The following is a 19,264-nucleotide window of genomic DNA, read 5'->3' as shown; positions in this document are numbered from 1 at the left end:
CTTGTGGGCAAATAACCTACAGAGCGGTTTTGCTTTTAAAATTATTGTTATTGGCCAGGCGTGGTGGCTCACTCCTGTAATCCCGGCACTGTGGGAGGCCGAGGTGGATGGATCACTTGAGGTCAGGAGTTCGAGACCAGCCTGACCAACATGATGAAACTCTCTCTCTACTAAAAATACAAAAATTAGCCAAGCGGGGTGGCAGGCGCCTGTAATCCCAGCTACTTGGGAGGCTAAAGCAAGAGAATAACTTGAACCTGGGAGGTGGAGATTGCAGTGAGCCGAGATTGTGCCATTGCACTCCAGCTTGGGTGACAAAAAGGAAACTGTGTCTCAAAAAAAATAAATAAATAAAATCGGCTGGGCGCAGTGGCTCATGCCTGTAATCCCTGCACTTCGGGAGGCTGAGGTGGGTGGATCACCTGAGGTCAGGAGTTCAAAACCAGCCTGGCCAACATGATGAAACTCCATCTCTAGTAAAAATACAAAATTAGCCGGGCTTGGTGGCAGATGCCCGTAATCCCAGCTACTCGGGAGGCTGAGGCGGGAGAATCGTTTAAACATGGGAGGCAGAGGTTGCAGTGAGCCCAGATTGCGCCATTGCATTCCAGCCTAGGCAACAGAGCAAGACTCCATCTCAGACAAAAATAAAAAATAAATAACAATAAATTTAAAAAATGAAATTATCATTGTTATTATTTGGAGCACAGAACAGTCGATCTGGGCACCCTGTCCTGTGTCTTTTGATACTCTGTGTTTAAGAAAAAAAAATCAATTATGTGTTTTATTTCATGAATCAGTTTTGGAGGGCTTCTGGCTATCCTTTTTTCCTCATATTCTACTGAGATTATTTTTTATTTTTTTATTTTTTTTTTGAGATGGGGTCTCACTCTGTCACCCAGGCTGGAGTGCAGTGGTGCAATCTCGGCTCACTGCAAGCTCTGCCTCCCAGGTTCATGCTGTTCTCCTGCCTCAGCCTCCCAAGTAGCTGGGACTACAGGCGCCCACCACCACGCCTGGCTAACTTCTTGTATTTTTAGTAGAGACGGGGTTTCACCGTGTTAGCCAGGATGGTCTCGATCTCCTGACCTTGTGATCCGCCCGCCTCGGCCTCCCAAAGTGCTGGGATTACAGCTTGAGCCACTGCGCCCGGCCCTTCTACTGAGATTATACAAAGCAGCAAGTTGCCAGGCGCAGTGGCTCACGCCTGTAATCCCAGTCCTTAGGGCGACAGAGACAGGGGAATAGCTTGAACCCAGGAGTACGAGACCTGCCTGGGCAATATGGCGAGACCCCATTCCCACAAAAAGGAGGAAAAAAAGGACAAAAAACAAAAACAAAGCTGCATGTTTTCCACAGAGTAGGAAATCCAATGGCAAGATAGTGTGTAGGTTTGGGCTGGGTGCAGTGGCTCAAGCTTGTAATTAATCCCATTGGCAGGCCAAGGTGGGAGGAGTGCTTGAGTCCAGGATTTCGATGCCAGCCTGGGCAACATAATGAGACACCCCCCACCCCCGCCACATCCTTTTTTTTTTTCTTGAGACTGAGTCTCACTTTTGTTGCCCATGCTAGAGTGCAGTGGCATGATCTCGGCTCACTGCAGCCTCCGCCTCCTGGGTTCAAATGATTCTCCTGTCTCAGCCTCCAGAATAGCTGGGATTACAGGCATGTGCCACCACGCCCGGCTAATTTTGTATTTTTAGTAGAGACAGGGTTTCTCCATGTTGGTCAGGCTGGTCTTGAACTCCCGACCTCAGGTGATCTGCCCACCTCGCCCTCCCAAAGTGATGGGCGTCCCAAACTGATGGGATTACAGGCATGAGCCACCGTGCCCTGCCAGGCACATCTTAAACAAAAATTAAGAAAAAATAGTGTGGATGTTTAATCTACAAGTTGCTCTATTTGCTACCTGTGTGATTTGAGGCAAGTCATTTGACCTCAGTAGGCTTCCCTTCATCTGAAAAATGGAGGATAATTATCTTCCCTACAAGATTTTTTTTTTGAGATGTAGTTTTGCTAGGTCCCCCAGGCTGGAGTGCAAGGCACCATCTCAGCTCACTGCAACCTCTGCCTCCCGCGTTCAAGTGATTATCCTGCCTCAGCCTCCCGAGTAGCTGGGATTACAGGCACCTGCCACCATGCCAGGGTAATTTTTTTTTTTTTTCTGAGACAGAGTTTTGCTCGTCATCCAGGTGGGAATGCAATGGCCCGATCTCGGCTCACTGCAACCTCCGCCTCCTGGGTTCAAGTGATTCTCGTGCCTCAGCCTCCCAAGTAGCTGGGATTACAAGTGCCTGCCACCAAGCCCAGCTAATTTTTGTATTTTTAGTAGAGATGGGGTTTCGCCAAGTTGGTTAGGCTGGTCTCAAACTCCTGACCTTAGGTGATCCACCCGCCTTGGCCTCCCAAGGCGCTGGGATTACACAGGAGCCATAACACCCAGCCCTTGCCTGGCTGATTTTTGCATTTTTAGTAGATACAGGGTTTCACCATGTTGGCCAGGCTGGTCTCCAACACCTGACCTCAAGTGATTTTATTTGCCTCAGCTTCCCAAAGTGCTGGGATTACAGGCGTGAGCTACTGCGCCTGGCCTTAAATGGTTCCTTTTATAATGTGTGTTAATGTTCAAGGACAAGAGAGCTAAGGTTTGTTGTTGTTGTTGTTGTGTTCTTATCTCTTAGATTTACATTCCAATCTAGAAGACACTCTTCAGAGGCAATCCTTGACCAAGTCACTGCAAGATGAATTTATTTACTTATTTATTTTTTTGAGATGGTGTCTCACTCTGTCACCCAGGCTAGAGTGCAGTGGCATGATCTTAGCTGCAACCTCTTGCCTCCTGGGTTCAAGCGATTCTCCTGTCTCTGCCTCCTGAGTAGATGGAATAATAGTTGTGAGCCACCACGCCCGGCTAATTTTTGTATTTTTAGTAGAGACAGGGTTTCACTATGTTGGCTAGGCTGGTCTTGAACTCCTGACCTCAGGTGATCTGCCTGCCTCGGCCTCCCAAAGTGCTGGGATTACAGGTGTTAGCTTCCATGCAAAATGATTTTAAACAGCTATCCTACTGAAAGCACAGGAGTCTTCAACATCTGGCCACCGGCATCACCTCCCCAAACCAGCCCCAAAGACTGGCTTCTGGAAGCCAAGAGCTCTTATGTCTACTCCACACTATGGCTTGCTTTTTCATAAGTTGGAGCCTGTATAAAGGCTGAATTTTGAGACTGCATTAGAGTCTTAAATTATAAGGGATGAAAACGATTAATGTGAATGCTCAAGGTTTCCACCCTTTGCTCCCACTTCTCAATTTGTGGAGGTATGCAGATAGACCAATTCGCTGGACTTTTATGATGTAGATTGACGATGTGGGACTAGAAGATAAAAGTGTAATGGGGAAAGAAAGGAACACTTCAGTTAAGAAGTGGCTAAGTCAATCAACATAACAAAAACTTCAAGTAGGGGAAAGGGAAGAATAAAGGATGGCTTTTTATTTTTAATTTATTTTTATTTATTATTATTATTTTTTTGAGACAGGGTCTCACTCTGTCACCCAGGCTGGAGGCAGTGGTGGGATCTTGGCTTACTGCAACGTCGACCTCTGGGTCCCAGGGTTCAAGCGATTCTCCTGCCTCAGCCTCCAGAGTAGCTGGGATTACAGGCACGCACCACCATACCTGGCTAATTTTTGTATTTTTGGTAGAGACAGGGTTTCACCATGTTGGCCAGGCTGATCTAGAACTCCTGATCTCAAGTGATCCGTCCGCCTCGACCTCCCAAAGTGCTGGGATTACAGGCATGAGCCACTGCGCCCAGCCCCCCTTTATTTATTTATTTATTTTTTTGAGATGGAGCCTTGCTCTGTCGCCCTGGGCTGGAGTGCAGTGGCGCGATCTTGGCTCACCACTTCTGCCTCCTGGGTTCAAGCTATTCTTCTGCCTCAGCCTTCCGAGTAGCTGGGACTACCGGCTCCCACCACCATGCCTGGGTAATTTTTTTTATTTTTTATTTTTAGTAGAGATGGGGTTTTACCATGTTGGCCAGGCTGGTCTCAAACTCCTGACCTCGAGTGATCAGCCCGCCTCGGCCTCCCAAAGTGCTGGGATTACAGGCATGAGCCACCGCGCCTGGCCCAATCTCACTGCTTTTGTGCCTCACTTCTGATTCCTGTACGCCACTTTACCTTTTTTATCTATACATTTGTTCTGACCACGCGGCACCCCAGGAATCTCTGTGAATCTGCTGTGATTCTGGGGACTGCCTGATTCACGAATGGTTCATTGCTCAATTAAACTTCTTTAAATTTAATTCGGCTGAAGTTTTTCTTTTATCAGATGGTGTCAGAAGCGGGTTCTGAAATGGAGCTTCTAGCGACCCCAGGAGTGCTGAGTGAAGACAATGCAGGACCCATTTTTGTGTCCATGGATCTCTCAGAGTGGCTGGGGATCATCGTAAGCTCCCTCTCAGATTTTGGAGCTCCATGGATTTGTGTTTTGGAGTTTGAGAAAATTTCTGATCCAAACTGGGTTTGGAGTTGCGACAGAAACTGGACTGGGTCCAGGAACAGGTTTGATCTGGGAATTAACTGGCTTGGATCAAGTTAGAGGCCTCTTACATCTGACTGGGTCAGAAAGGAACTGGTGGTAAAGCAGTAATATTGCAGGGGTTATAAAATTTGGCTTTTGAAAATTCACATGGATTTTTGTGTTCTGCCCCTTTGTTTCATTTTTTGTGCATGCTTACGTAGGAAAAAAAGTCATTGGCTAAGTTAATCAAGAGAACCTGAGTAAAGTCAATATTCTAGGGAAAAATGGGAAAATGGGATCCTTAATTTCTGGAAAACTGAGTTCTTTTTGGGTTATACATTAGGCCTGGGAGGCAGCGAAGTCTTACAGAAATGGCAAAATCTTACTAAAGGTGACTTACAGTGGAATGTGCCGAATGAACAACAATGCACTGAAGTACATTTAAACATGAGGGCTCTTCGTAAAGCCCCTTTTGGCTAAGAACAGGTTTGGTACTACAGCATGTCAACTGCTATTCTCTTTGGAATAATCTGCCTTGCACTCTTTGCTGAAGGCTGTGAGTGGCCATTAGGCATGTACAGGATCATGGGACGGGGGAGCGTTTTCCCCCCTAAAAGGGGAAACTTGAGAGCTGATGAGACTGCTGGAAAAGATCCCTTTGCTACCGAGAAGCAGCTGACTGAACTTTTCAGAGTCGTTGCAATGGGTGGGTCTTTCTCTGGCTTCCCTGATCATTTCACCTTCCCAACCCTGCCGCAGGCAATGCTTTTTTCTCTCTCTCCCTTTCTTTTCTTTTTTTATTTTGGGTTGGAGTCTTGCTCTATCACCCAGGCTGGATGGAGTGCAGTGGCAAGATCTTGGCTCACTGCAACCTCTGCCTCCCGGGTTCAAGCAATTTTCCTGCCTCAGCCAACTGAGTAGCTGGGACTACAGGCGTGCGCCACCACGCCCAGCTAATTTTTTGTATTTTTAGTAGAAACAGGGTTTCACCCTGTTGGCCAAGCTGGTCTTGAACTCCTGACCTGAAACAATCCGCCCGCCTTGGCCTCCCAAAGTGCTGGGATTACAGGCATGAGCCACCTTGCCTGGCCCGGCTCCCTTGCTTATCTTTTCTGTTACTCAGGGCGACCATCTTGCCCAGAGACCACAGGTTGAAATTCCTGGTCGGAGGTTGGATTAACGATGATGGGGCACAACCAGAGGCAAGTTTGAGCTCTGTCAGTTTGATATTGGGTGCTAAGCAGAGTGACTAATGTCTGTTTTGTCACACGTATCTTGCTCTGGCCAGAACGAAGAAAGATAATTTTCTTTTATGATGCGGCTTGGCCCCCAGAGTGATGATGCAGCAAGCTGAGTCACTAGGGCCACTCAGGGAAAGGGAACCCAGAAGCCTGGCATGCTGGCAAAAGGGTAGGAATTTTTTTTTTTTTGAGACGGAGTCCCGCCCTGTCGCCCAGGCTGGAGTGCAGTGGCATTATCTTGGCTCACTGCAAGCTCCACCTCCCGGGTTCACGCCATTCTCCCACCTCAGCCTCCCCAGTAGCTGGGACTACAGGCGCCCGCCACCACGCCCGGCTAATTTTTTTTTTTTTTTTTTTTTAGTATTTTTAGTAGTGACGGGGTTTCACTGTGTTAGCCAGGATGGTCTCTATCTCCTGACCTCGTGATCCACCCAACTCGGCCTCCCAAAGTGCTGGGATTACAGGAGTGAGCCACCACGCTTGGCCAGGAATTTCTTACCAGTCAAATTTCTGGCTTCTCTCTCTCTGTGCAAATGGTTGAATGAATGGTAAAAACCACTGTTTGTCTCCATCTTGTTTTACGTCCTTAGGAGCTTGACCTTGTAACCATGTGGCAATACTTTCTCTTGGTCTTTGCCTTCCAGGGAACAATAATTTTAGGGTTTCTGTCATAGTTAGCTCTAAAAATTATCTTTTAACTAAAAGCCTTTGCAAGCTCAAAATTAACTATTCTAAACTCCTTCTGGGAAGGGAAAGAAAAGACTGCCGTGTGCTGTAGCTCAGTAGTCAAGGCTTTGCCCTTTCACACTAGCTCAATTCCCTGCTTAGGAAGTAAGTCCTTTCCGGTTTAATAACTGCATGACCGTCTCTAGTCTCTTCTCCACTGACTATCTTAAATCTTCCTTTCTCTGAGAACCTTCCTGAGTCCTTAACTTTACCTTTGGTAAAGTTCAAAAGCCAGGAATATCAGCCTTTTGGCCTGGCTAAAATTGGGTAATAAGACATTTTAAAAGGATTTTATTAAAGAGTGCTATGGTTAAAAGTCAGCTTAATTAAAAGTGAATATTCAAGTTCTAACAGCCTGGACTCCTTGGGAAAAACAGGAGGCACCAGAGACCCCCTTTCATGGCCCTGTTCTTTCAAGGCCCGGCATTTTTGTTTACCATTTAAGTAAACTACAAAAGAAAAAGGGGGAAGGGAAGGAAAGGAGACAATCAGTCGGCCTCAGGCTATCTTCATTGGGTCGTTTGGAAAGCTGAATCTCCTTGCTATCAGAATAATGTTTCTTCCTTTTAAAAATTTTCAAGTTGGCCTGGCGCTGTGGCTCACACCTGTAATCCCAGCACTTTGGGAGGCCGAGGCAGGCGGATCACCTGAGGTCAGGAGTTCCAGACCAGCCTGGCCAACATAGTGAAACCCCGTCTCTACTAAAAATACAAAAATTAGCCAGGCGTGGTGGCATGCACCTGTAATCCCAGCTACTCAGGAGGCTGAGGCAGAAGAATCTCTTGAAACCAGGAGGCGGAGGTTGCAGTGAGCCAAGATCGTGCCATTGCACTCCAGCCTGGGTGACAAGAGTGAAAGTCCATCTCAAAAAAAAAAAAAAAGAAAGAAATTTTCAAGTTATCATTTTGGCTAAATGACTTACAGTAACTTAAGATTCTATTTTGTAATATTCCATGTTCAATGTTTTAAACCTTTGGTATTTATTTAACCTTTCAAAATCAAGCTCTAGATTATCATGCTAAATCAGCCAATATTCAAATTGTTTAAATATACAATTTGAATGAACTCCATGGTTTAAGTCAAATTACCTGTGATAACCCATTAGTTATCAGTGCCATGCACCTATATTGGAGAAACAACTGGTATTCAATAGGACCTAAGTCCAGTGGTAAGCATGGACTCATGAAGAACCAGGACGGCCACCTTGTCCTTCCTAAGTCCTTAAGCTTTTGTTATTAAAGGTTCTGCATTCCATGACTCGTCATGGAAAAGATAAAATAATTCAAATTATATTGATGCAGTGACTTACAAATTGTGGAAAGTTTAAAACCAATGTTTGCTTCCATATTCCTGGGAAGACAATCAAAACTTCAAGTGTATTTGCCTACCTGATGGGCTAAACATTTATAAAAGGATTTCATTGTATTGTCATTTTCAATGCATGTTTTCTGGTTGTATAAAAACTTTCACATGCATGAGGCTGATATTATAATAGTAGATTATGCTACAGTGTATTTTCACCAGGTAAAGAAAGCTTTTTATGGGTCACTAAGGACAATCCCTTCACAATCTAGAACCCGGAGATTGGATATTCTTTTATATATATATATTTTTTTTTTTGAGATGGAGTTTCACTCTTGTCGCCCAGGCTGGAGTGCAATGGCACCATCTTGGCTCACTGCAACCTCGCCTCCCAGGTTCAAGCGATTCTCCTACCTCAGCCTCCCAAGTAGCTGGGATTACAGGTGTGAGCCACCACACCCGGCTAATTTTTGTATTTTTAGTAGAGATGGGGTTTCACCATATTGGCCAGGCTGGTCTTGAACTCCTGACTTCAGGTGATCCATCTGCTTCGGCCTCCCAAAGTGCTGGGATTACAGAAGATTGAATCTCTTTTTTTCTTCTTTTTTTTTTGAGACAGAGTTTCGCTTTTGTTGCCCACGCTGGAGTGCAATGGTGCGATCTCGGCTCACCCGCAACCTGTGCCTCCCGGGTTCAAGCGATTCTCCTGCCTCAGCCTCCTGAGTAGCTGATATTGCAGGCATGCGCCACCACGCCCAACTAATTTTGTATTTTTAGTAGAGACAGGATTTCTCCATGTTGGTCAGGCTGGTCTTGAACTTCTGACCTCAGGCGATCTGCCCACCTCAACCTCCCAAAGTGATGGGATTACAGGCATGAACCACCGTGCCTGGCCTAGAAGATTGGATCTTCTGAGAACATCAGAGAAAGATTGTCCTTGTCGTCCACACTACAGCAAAACTCTGGAGCCTTGAACCTTGGGTTCATAATCTCACAACTGAAAAGGGTCCCTCCACATTCCTGGAACAGTACACCCACTGGAACCCTTAAGGTAAAACCGACTAGAAACGTTTCTCCCCAGAAGAAGATGGCATCCTTGATGTGAACAGCTTTTCCCAGGATCACAGATCAAGACTTCTACTATCACGAGACTCTTATTTTTGAATATTTTTTCCTTGCTTATGCTTCTATGAATAATAGAAATGAAAAGAGGGTCTGTTATGTGCACTTTTAGGGTATACTTTTATTTGTGAAGGATTTTTGCAGACAGCCTTATACGTGAATAACCTTATACTTTAATACATAAAAGATGAAGGCCCAGTGTAGGTAACAAACTTTAGTGGTACATACATTGCCTCATTCATAATCAGTCAAAACTCCTCTTAACCCACATCATGGATTAAAGCGAACACTGCCAGGAGGCCTTCACTCTTCTACCAGGACATCATTTGTTAGGTCCTTTTTCCATGGTTTAGAATAAAAGAGGCAATAATTAGAAATGTCTCCCTCATAATAGGCTCTACAGCAAATTCTACTTTAAAGGCTATCATTACACAACAGACTTTAAATTATCTGTGAAAGTTATGCTAGGCCAGGTGCAGTGGCTCACGCCTGTAATCCCTGCACTTTGGGAGGCTGAGGCAGGCGGATCATGAGGTCAGGAGTTCGAGACCAGCCTGGCCAATATGGCAAAACCCGTCTCTGATAAAAATACAAAAATTACCTGGGCGTGGTGGCTCACACCTGTAATCCCAGCTACTCGGGAGGCTGAGGCAGGAGAATCCCCTGAACCTCGGAGGCGGAGGTTGCAGAGAGCTGAGATGGTGCCACTGCACTCCAGCCTAGGTGACAAGAGCAAAACTCTGTCTCAAAACAAAATAAATAAATAAAATAGAAAAATTAGCCAGGCATGGTGGTGCACACCTGTAGTCCCAGCTACTCGGGAGGCTGAGGCAGGAGAATCGCTGGAATCTAGGAGGAGGAGGTCGCAGTGAGCCAAGATTGCGCTACTGCACTCCAGCCTGGGCGACAGAGTGAGACTCCATCTCAAAACAAAACAAACTTGACAATCACCCTAACACATCTAATCTCATTTTTATTGGTGAAGCAGTAGTATTTGTAGTGACCATTCATTAACAGCTCTAAAGCATGCATTTATTTTTTGAGATGCAGTCTCACTCTGTAGCCCAGACTGGAGAGCAGTGGCGTGATCTCCGCTCATTGCCAACCTCCTCTCCCAGGTTCAAGCGATTCCCCTGCCTCAGAATCCCCAGTAGCTGGGATTACAGATGGGAGCCACCACGTGCTAATTTTGTATTTTCATTTTTTATTTATTTATTTTTTATTTTGGGATGGAGTCTCGCTCTGTCGCCCAGGATGGAGTGCAGTGGCATGATCTTGGCTCACTGCAACCTCCGCCTCTTGGTTCAAGCGATTCTCTTGCCTCAGCATCCCGAGTAGCTGGGATTATAGGCGCACACCACCACGCTGGGCTAATTTTTGTTATTTTTAGTAGAGACAGGGTTTCACTATGTTGGTCAGGCTGGTCTTGAACTCCTGATCTCATCATCCACCAGCCTTGGCCTCCCAGAGTGCTGGGATTACAGGCGTGAGCCACCGCGCCCGGCCTAATTTTTGTATTTTTAGCAGAGATGGGGTTTCACCATGTTGGCCAGCTGGTCTCCAACTCCTGACCTCAGGTGATCCACCTGCCTCGGGATTACAGGCATGGGCTGCCGTGCCTGGCCAGCTCTATAGTATTTACACACTAACACTGCCCTCTAACACCATCCTCAAGAACAGTCAATCCCCTTTCCTCCTTGGAGCATGTTCTTTTCTGTACCATTCATTTGATGCTTAATCACATATTACCCCAAATCTAAAAAATTTCATATTATTGTGCACCAATGTGGTGGGACATGGAGAGGAAAACCCACCATATTGAGAATTTGGAAATAATTGTAGTGCAGGCGGGGCTTGGTGGCTCACGCCTGTAATCCCAGCACTTTGGGAGGCCAAGGCAGGTAGATCACCTGAGGTCAGGAGTCCAAGACCAGCCTGGCCGACATGGTGAAGCCCTGTCTCTACCAAATATACAAAAGTTAGCCAGGTATGGTGCTGCATGCCTGTAATCTCAGCTACTGGGGAGGATGAGGCAGAATCACTTGAACCTTCGGAGGCAGAGGTTGCAGTGAGCTGAGATTGTGCCACTGCACTCCAGCCTGGGTGACAGAGTGAGACTCCATCTAAAAAAAAAACAAAAAAAAACAAAAAAAGCATTGTAGTGCAGTCTGTCACTGACTTGCTATGTGACTTCAACAAACACATTTTACTTTTTTTTATTTTTTTTTTTTAAGACAGGGTTTAGTTCTGTCACCCAGGCTGGAGTACTTGACCTCCCAGGCTCAAACAATCCTCCTACCTCAGCTCCCGAATACTCTGTAGGACTAATTTATTTATTTTTTGTAAAGATGAGGTCTTTGTTGCCCACGCTGGTCTCAAACTCCTGGGCTCAAGCAATCCTCCCACCTCAGCCTCTCAAAGTGCTGGGATTACAGGGTGTCAGCCATCACGCCCAGCCACACCTATTTTCTTTAACTGTAAAATGAAGGTTCTGAAACTAAAATCACTAAGGATTCTTCCCAGCCATGGAGTCCTTATATTAATATAAGAATATAATACTTCAGTTTTTAGGATCCCCCCTCACTAAGTGCACTTAAACAATATATGTTATGCCAGTTAATTATCTCAATCTTTGTGTGAATGTTAACTCAAATCTTCTCTCCGGGAAGTCTTCTTGGACTGTCTAATGGGTGTCCAGTCTGGATTAGGTGTGGTCTCTCTCTACAAGTATTGAGGACTGGTCTTTAATATACTGTTATGCAATATTTATCTGTTTATTTAATATTTACTCTTCTCCAGTAAATTTAAGTTCCCTGAAGTATTTATAAGTTATATAAGTTACAACTCTTAAATAGTACTTAGCATAGGTATTTAAGGAAATGAATGTTCAAGGCCAACGCTGAGTGGGGGGAAAAAAAAAGGAAATGGATGATGTTCCAGTATTAAAAATGTCTGCAGGCTGGGCGTGGTGGCTCACACCTATAATTCCAGCACTTTAGGAGGCTGAAGCGAGGATAGTTTGAGGACAAGAGTTCCAGACCAGCCTGAGCAACATAGGGAGACCCCTGTCTCTACAAAAAATTAAAAAATTAGCCTAGTGTGGTGGCATGCACCACGATCATGCCATTGCACTCCAGCCTGAGTGACAGAGTAAGACCCTGTCTCAAAAAATAAAATAAAAATAAAAACTTCTCCAGTAAAAGTAGCCTTTTTCAGAAAGCAATCATTACAAGTGGATCACTAAGGAATTTGAAGTTTGCATTAATATTAACTTTTAAAGCCAAATGTCTAGAATAAAAGTAGACAAGACACACTTTACATAAAATTTATAACATTTATTTAGGCAAAAAAAATCCCAAAACAAAAATCTGTACACACAACATTAATACTTAAGTGATGTCCTGATTTAAAATACAGCATGATTCATGTACAGAATACTCCCATTCATCTGGCCATAGTGAGAACAGTGCCTTCAGTCCAGATAATTGAGAGTCTTTGAAATATACACACTTTCCAATGAATTTTTTATATCCTTAGAAAGGAGTTAAACTGTTCTATCAGAATTCAAACAAAAGATAACTTCTCTCACACTCATAAGTCAGTGAGAATTTGACAGTGGGAATTCTACAAAAGTCAGGGATTTCTTAATTTTTGTTGTTGCAGATTATCTGAGAGTATAAAGTTTTTAAGGAAAAACAATGCTCTTAAGATCCTGCTTTTAATAAAGTGTCTCAGCTTTCATTAGCTAAGTAGCTTCTTCCTTCTAGGCTGCTTAAAATAAGCTTAAAAGGACCCAATTTGAACAGTTTTTCCCAAAATAAGTCCAAAATTAAACACATAACATTAATAAAATAGATTGATGATTTCCCACAAAATAATTTTGATAAACTTGGATTTTGGAAATATTCTTAATGGCCATTCTGTCTAGCTGTAAAGTTAGGCTGTGCTATCCAAAAGAGCTTTACTTTAGAGTCATGAGAAGCAGCACTGATCTTTGCAAAACTTACCCCAAAAAATGGGGAGAGAGAAAAACAGGAAGAAAAGTCTCTTTCTTAGGCTACCAGTCAGTTAACAAAGTATCTTAGATTAAGATTTGGAAACCAAAGAATGCATAATTAGGAGTGTACCATATCATGCAAAGTCTATGAAATACTAAATAAGGTAAAACAGTTAATCATTTAAAGCACGATGAGCAAATTCTCTTATCATACGGCTATTCTCATCACCGGACGAAGGTTGGTTTTGCATTATTCCTAAAATAAAACAGTTCGTGAGTGAATACTGCAAATTAAAAACTGTCAAAACACAGCAAATGATAAGGACTAAACATCCATTATCCACAAACTCATTTGAAACTACTACCATGGATTTGAGAGGGAAACCAAAAGTTTGCAAACCTCTCTGGGAGCTGTGTCAAAGTTAGTATTCTGAAGCCCTAGCAATACAAAGTCCCCAAATAAGTAAAATACAGATAAAAGTGGAAGAGCCTACATCAGCTCAAAGTAACATACTTCCTTTAACTTATGCCTTCAGTTTAATAATACTGTTTATACCACTACATTGTATAATAACGAAATAATGTAAACATACCATTAGAGGGCAGGAGAGGGATGGGTTTCACCATATACAAAGAGTTTAAGTTTGTTTTCCCTGCTACCTCTTTTTAACCTTGGGTGCAGCTGTACATTGTTCTATAGGGGTATTGTTCTATAGTTTAAAAACACTAAGCTAAATCTCTGGTAAATTAACCTAATTTAGCACATAAAATATGTTTTCATTAAACATATGGGATAGGAAGGGATAGGAAGATGGCCCGGTGTTATGTTGATGCATGGCATAATTAAAAACACAGCTAAGACCAGGCACTGTGGCTCATGCCTGTGATTCCAGCACTTTGGGAAGCTGAGGTGGGAAAGTCACTTGAGGCCAGGAGTTCGAGACCAGCCTGGGCAACACAGTGAGACACCATCTCTCTCTCTCGCTTTTTTTTTTTTTTTTTTTTTAACATAGCCAAATAAGATGACTGGGGAGAAAACAGATTAACACAAAAGGTCCCACCTGTAAGGGCAACTTCCTAAAGCTAGATATATAGAACCGATGGTTTTAAACATAAAACTTGATTATGTAGAAGTTTGCAAATGAAATATATCACGAAAGCAAATTCCCATGCAGCTTTATTCACCTCAACCATGTGTAATCTACTTAAGGTGACTAGTGCCACTATAAGGCATTACTGTCCCAGGGTGACAAGAAGCAATATTTATACTCAATTCCTGAAACTGGGGGTCTGATATGCTTTTTAAAAATCCTAAACTAACTAATATCAGTAGCCATGGAGTCATCGGCTTGAGGGTAAACTAATCCCTTATACCACTTGATTTATTTTATTAATTAGTTAATAATGCAGTTAATTTTCAACTGCAAAAAGAAAAAATTATTTTGTGGAGTAGAAAGACCACAGCAATAATTACTTGATGCAAAAAATAAGACACCTTAATTGTATTTGCTCAAATCTGTTGTCTTAATGATACCAATATGTATCATTATAATCTATTTTTTAAAAATTTTCCTCATTATGCCCTAGAACATCATTATACTCTAAAAAGTCAAATTCCATTTCCTTTAGATTTCCTTAATGTTGCTTGTGGACTGATGTAGTGATATTTTACATTGGAGCCCACCAATGATTTGAACAATGAGTGGTTCAACCCTAGTCTAAATTGTGCTTGAAACAGCACCTCTAGCCACTGAGAGATAACACTCAAAGGCACCAATAACAGTTATATTCTAGTCTACAGGTGCAAAAAGGAGGCCTTGTAGATTCTAACTATAGATACTGGCTACTTATGCCTCATAATTCCAATACATACATCCACTGTATTTTAGCCAGATTCAGGACCTTACACACAATTCTGTGCCTTAATTCTATACGCAATTTTAGGAACCATCCCAACTGCAAAGGCACTCAAATTTTTATATATTTGGGATGTAATAAATTATTATGCTTTTTTTTTTTTTGAGACGGAGTCTTACTCTGTCACCCAGGCTGGAGTGCAGTGGCATGATATTGGCTCACCACAACCTCCACCTCCCAGGTTCAAGCGATTCTCCTGCCTCAGCCTCCTGAGTAGCTGGGATTACAGGTGCCCGCCACCACACCCAGCTAATTTTTGTATATTTAGTAGAGACAGGGTTTCACCATTTGGGCCAGGCTGGTCTTGAACTCCTGACCTTGTGATCCACCCACCTCGGCCTCCCAAAGTGCTGGGATTACAGGCGTGAGCCACCGCGCCCGGCCTATTATGCTTTTAAGACTCAGAAGTATCTGGCCACTACTGATGTTTACAAAGTAGGAAATTTAGCCTGTAGTTCCAGCTACTCCAGAGGCTGAGGGGGTAAGATCACATAAGCCCAAGAGGCTGCAGTGAGGTATGATTGTGCCACTGCACTCCAGCTTGGGCGACAGAGTGAAACTCTGTCTCTACAAAAAGAAAAAAAGTAGGAAGTTTAATTTTTTTTTTCCCCAGAGTCTCACTCCGTTGTCCAGGCTGGAGTGCAGTGGCACGATCTTAGCTCACTGCAACCTCCACTTCCTGGGTTCAAGTGATTCTCGTGCCTCAGCCTCCCGAGTAGCTGGGACTATAGGCGTGCAAAAAAGCCACCATGCCCAGCTAGTTTTTGTATTTTTAGTAGAGACGGGGTTTCACCACGTTGGCCAGGGTGGTCTCGAACTCCTGATCTCAAGTGATCTGCCCGCCTCGGCCTCCCAGAATGCTGGGATTACAGGCAAGAGCCACTACGCCCACCCTTGCTTTTACATATTTTGGATGCTTCAACTATTAAGAAGTTATTCTGAGTAAAGAAGGGATTTACTGTTTTCTGTACACTTTTAGCCATTTCTGAAAATAATTTGTAAAGACAAAAACCTAGCATTAGCCTGTAAAGAAATATGCACTTTTGTCTTATAAAACAGAAACTTGAAGCCAAACTTCTTAAATAGGCTTTCCCTTAACTACACTAGATAAAAGACCTGGAAACGGTCAACATATCTAGCAATTTCCAAACTACCACAGGCCATCTCGTTTTCTGAACTTTGTCTTAGACATTAACATTCGAAAAAGGAAAAAAAAAAAAAAAACTTTTAAAAGAATTCTCTATTTTGTCTGAAATAAACTTAGTCTGTGAAAATTTATCTTACGCCTATAAAAATTCCTTAAGCCAATTAAGTCAGCATTAACCCAGCATTTAATATGGTTTTCAGTGATTCTAAATATCTATTTAGATATTTATTTGAGTCAGCGTCTCGCTCTGTTTCCCAGGTGCCACCACACCCAGCTAATTTAAAAAAAAAAAATTTTTTTTTTTGGTAGAGACCGAGTCTCACTATGTTGCCCAGGCTAGTCTTGAACTTCTGGGCTCAAGCAATCCTCCTGCTTCAGCTTCCCAAAGTGCTGGGATTACAAGCATGAGCCACTGCATCCAGACCTAAATGCCTACTTTCTTTTAACTCAGTTTTCATTCACATGAAGGAACTCCAAAAAAAATTCAAGTCTGATTATTGTGATAATGGTATAAAATGTTTGTCAAAAAATGTCATCAGTGAACTAACAAACCAGCTCCTTTCTAAATTAAAATGCTTCTGAATAATCACTATAATTTTAATATTCCATTTTAAATCTCTGTTGAAAACACTGGCCATCTATGAAAAAAAATGTAGTTATCTGGGATTGTAGATTGACCTTATTCACAAAATAAAATTTTAAATGAAAATTAAGTTTCTTGGTGACTTGCTATCTCTCAAGTGCTATTACTGATATAAGTGATTCTTTACTATACTGTATCAGATACCTTAAGGAAAGGTAATTGCCTAAAAAATAATCTGTCAAAAATATGTGCTGTTATGCACTGCGAGTAGAATCATTACATTTAATCATTTAAAGAGTTTAATTATTTTCTTTCATTTTTGGCAGTGAGATGGGGACACTTTCTCTAACATGAACACATTAAGAAGATACACATATTTTGAACAAGAGATTTTAACTTTTTATGGCAAAATTTACTGGTGTCAATTGTATTTTAATTGAGAGGTTAACACCATGTTGCTGTCTCTATTCCACTGAACAAAAATGACTTTGAAATAGAGGAAAAGAATAGCCAGTTTTAACTGGCGATAATTTTTTAAAATCACATTTTCACAACACTACAACATATGGAGATGTAGACAGTTAGTCTTTAACACAGAGTGCTGTAGTATTTTATACTGTGGTGCTTGGGGAAATATTCCTAGTGAATAACCGGCAGTCTGTGCAGGAACCAGCAGTCCACACTTCTAGGTATAAATATGGAGGACAAGCTTCTGCTCACCGCCTCAAGAGAGGTGGACTCCCGAAGGGTAGCCTGTCTCATTTTAAAACCTATACCATGAAACCAATTCCCAGTTCCTACACTCTGTTCTACCTTCATAATTTTTCTTTCTCATATATCTTTCCGCCAGCCATCCAGGCTCCTGCCAGTGATTAGCTTCCACAAGATGATCCACATTTCCCTTCTTTCACACTAAGAAGGACATCTTATAAAATATACACAGATAGAGAAGAAAGGCATTTTATACAGAAGCAGTATAAAATTTACAACTGAAGCAGTGTCAGAAATCAGGTCAACAGCTTATGTGAAGCTGCAAATTGATTGGAAGGGACTCTGAGATCAGAAAAGTCTGGCCTAAGGGTTCGTGCAAACTTTACCATAAAACTGTAGAATCTCAAGCACAAGTAAGTTCAAACACTGAAAGATGTGGAAAATTTCCTAAAAGGCAATGATAAAGGAAGAGACCCTTCTTGACTCATAAGTTTAAAATCACAAGACAAATTAGAGACTGTTCACATGGGCAGTACTACACATTATCAATCCCAAACTGATTTTATGACTCTTGTCATAGAAACCCCCAAAACATCAGGGAGGGTAAGATATTCCAAATGGACCAATCACAAAAAGGATTCCTGTGATTCAACTATCCAATACTTATGGCTATCAATTTAGTCTGGCTTGGGGCTGTTTTTTACAGGGAGGTGGCCTCCCATGGCGCACAATGTGTTTTTCTAAGCTATCCAGAATGGCCACAGCAATCTGTTGGACATGGGGATCAGTATGTTCATGATCTTTGATGTTGTATAAATGCTGCAATCCTCCTTCTTCAATCAGCATGCTGCAATACCTTGAAGCTGAAAAAGAAAAAAAAACACACACAAAACAGGAGAAATAGCTTTTCTTAAAACACTTGAAAATTATTCCACAAAAAAATGACTTCTAGGAGCCATTTTTTTTTAGCTGTTTTGTTATTGATCACTAACATGCTACAGCTTGATAAATAACCTCTATACTGATGTTACGTCTACAGTGCAAGGCCTACACATTCAATCAATAAATAGCTAGCTTGATTTTTCTAACCTCAAGACATGTACAACCTGTATTAAAAAAATAAAAACAATCATAACTACCTTATCTTTGACCCAAAATCACAGGTAAGTGTTGTTATATTTTTATGCATTTCCTATGCTTTTTTTTTTTTTTTAGACAGAGTCTTGCCCTGTTGCCCAGGCCAGAGTACAGTGGCGCAATCTCGACTCACTGCAGCCTCCGCCTCCTGGGTTCAAGCGATTCTTGTGCCTCAGCCTGGAAATACAGGCACATGCCACCACCCCTGGCTAATTTTTTTATTTTTAGTAGAGATGGGGTTTTACCATGTTGCCTAGGCTGGTCTCAAACTCCTGCCCTCAAGCAATCCTCCCGCCTCAGCCTCCCAAAGTACTAGAATTACAGGCATGAGCCATAATGCCAGGCTGCATTTACTATGCTTTTTAAAAACTTAATGGCACTCATACTGCACATACAATTTTTAAATTTTTGAAATATTTTATTAGCCTTTTTTTTTTTTTTTTTTTTTTTAAAGACAGTCTCATTCTGTTGCCCAGGCTGGGGTGATCATGGCTCATGCCCAGTGGTGTGATCATGGCTCACTGCAGCTTGCTGTGTTGCCCAGGCTGGAGTCCAATGGCACAATTTTGGCTCACTGCAACCTCTGCCTCCCGGGTTCAAGCAATTCTCCTTCCTCAGTCTCCTGGGTAGCTGGGACTATAGGCACCAGCCACCACACCTGGCTAAATTTTTGTATTTTTGGTAGAGGTGGGGTTTTACCACGCTGGCCAGTCCAGTCTCAAACTCCTGACCTTAAGTGATCTGCCTGCCTCAGCCTCCCAAAGTGCTGGGGTTACAGGTGTGAGCCACCACACCCAGCCACATTAAAACATTTTAATACAAATAGAAGTGAATTCCATTTAAATATAAACAAAATAA

The 19,264-nt window shown here is 42.6% G+C and overlaps 1 protein-coding gene across 3 annotated transcripts in view, besides 3 other annotated features; it reads right to left on the bottom strand.

The window, feature by feature from the left end:
* Window positions 2,431-3,112: an enhancer, noted in NCBI's record as "OCT4-NANOG-H3K27ac-H3K4me1 hESC enhancer chr1:53302131-53302812 (GRCh37/hg19 assembly coordinates)". NCBI's record gives its function as "activates a minimal SCP1, AML or CMV promoter by ChIP-STARR-seq in naive and primed H9 embryonic stem cells {active_cell/tissue: H9 hESC(naive and primed)}" and the evidence as "EXISTENCE:reporter gene assay evidence [ECO:0000049][PMID:30033119]".
* Window positions 3,113-3,794: an enhancer, noted in NCBI's record as "OCT4-NANOG-H3K27ac-H3K4me1 hESC enhancer chr1:53301449-53302130 (GRCh37/hg19 assembly coordinates)". NCBI's record gives its function as "activates a minimal SCP1, AML or CMV promoter by ChIP-STARR-seq in naive and primed H9 embryonic stem cells {active_cell/tissue: H9 hESC(naive and primed)}" and the evidence as "EXISTENCE:reporter gene assay evidence [ECO:0000049][PMID:30033119]".
* Window positions 6,799-7,566: an enhancer, noted in NCBI's record as "NANOG-H3K27ac hESC enhancer chr1:53297677-53298444 (GRCh37/hg19 assembly coordinates)". NCBI's record gives its function as "activates a minimal SCP1, AML or CMV promoter by ChIP-STARR-seq in naive H9 embryonic stem cells {active_cell/tissue: H9 hESC(naive)}" and the evidence as "EXISTENCE:reporter gene assay evidence [ECO:0000049][PMID:30033119]".
* Window positions 12,235-19,264, bottom strand: part of ZYG11B (zyg-11 family member B, cell cycle regulator) — a 100,884-nt gene continuing 93,854 nt past the window's right edge. For all 3 annotated transcript variants that reach the window (NR_199864.1, NM_001441954.1, NM_024646.3), the window contains one exon: window positions 12,235-18,132. Coding sequence is in view for 2 of the 3 variants with exons in the window: in NM_001441954.1 (NP_001428883.1) it covers window positions 17,942-18,132 (191 nt within the window). In the remaining variant the exon portion in view is untranslated. The remainder of the gene's footprint in view (window positions 18,133-19,264) is intronic.

This window comes from Homo sapiens, chromosome 1 (assembly GCF_000001405.40).
Source record: "Homo sapiens chromosome 1, GRCh38.p14 Primary Assembly".
In the NCBI taxonomy this organism is placed as follows: domain Eukaryota; kingdom Metazoa; phylum Chordata; class Mammalia; order Primates; family Hominidae; genus Homo; species Homo sapiens.
This window is presented reverse-complemented; position numbering and strand designations above follow the sequence as displayed.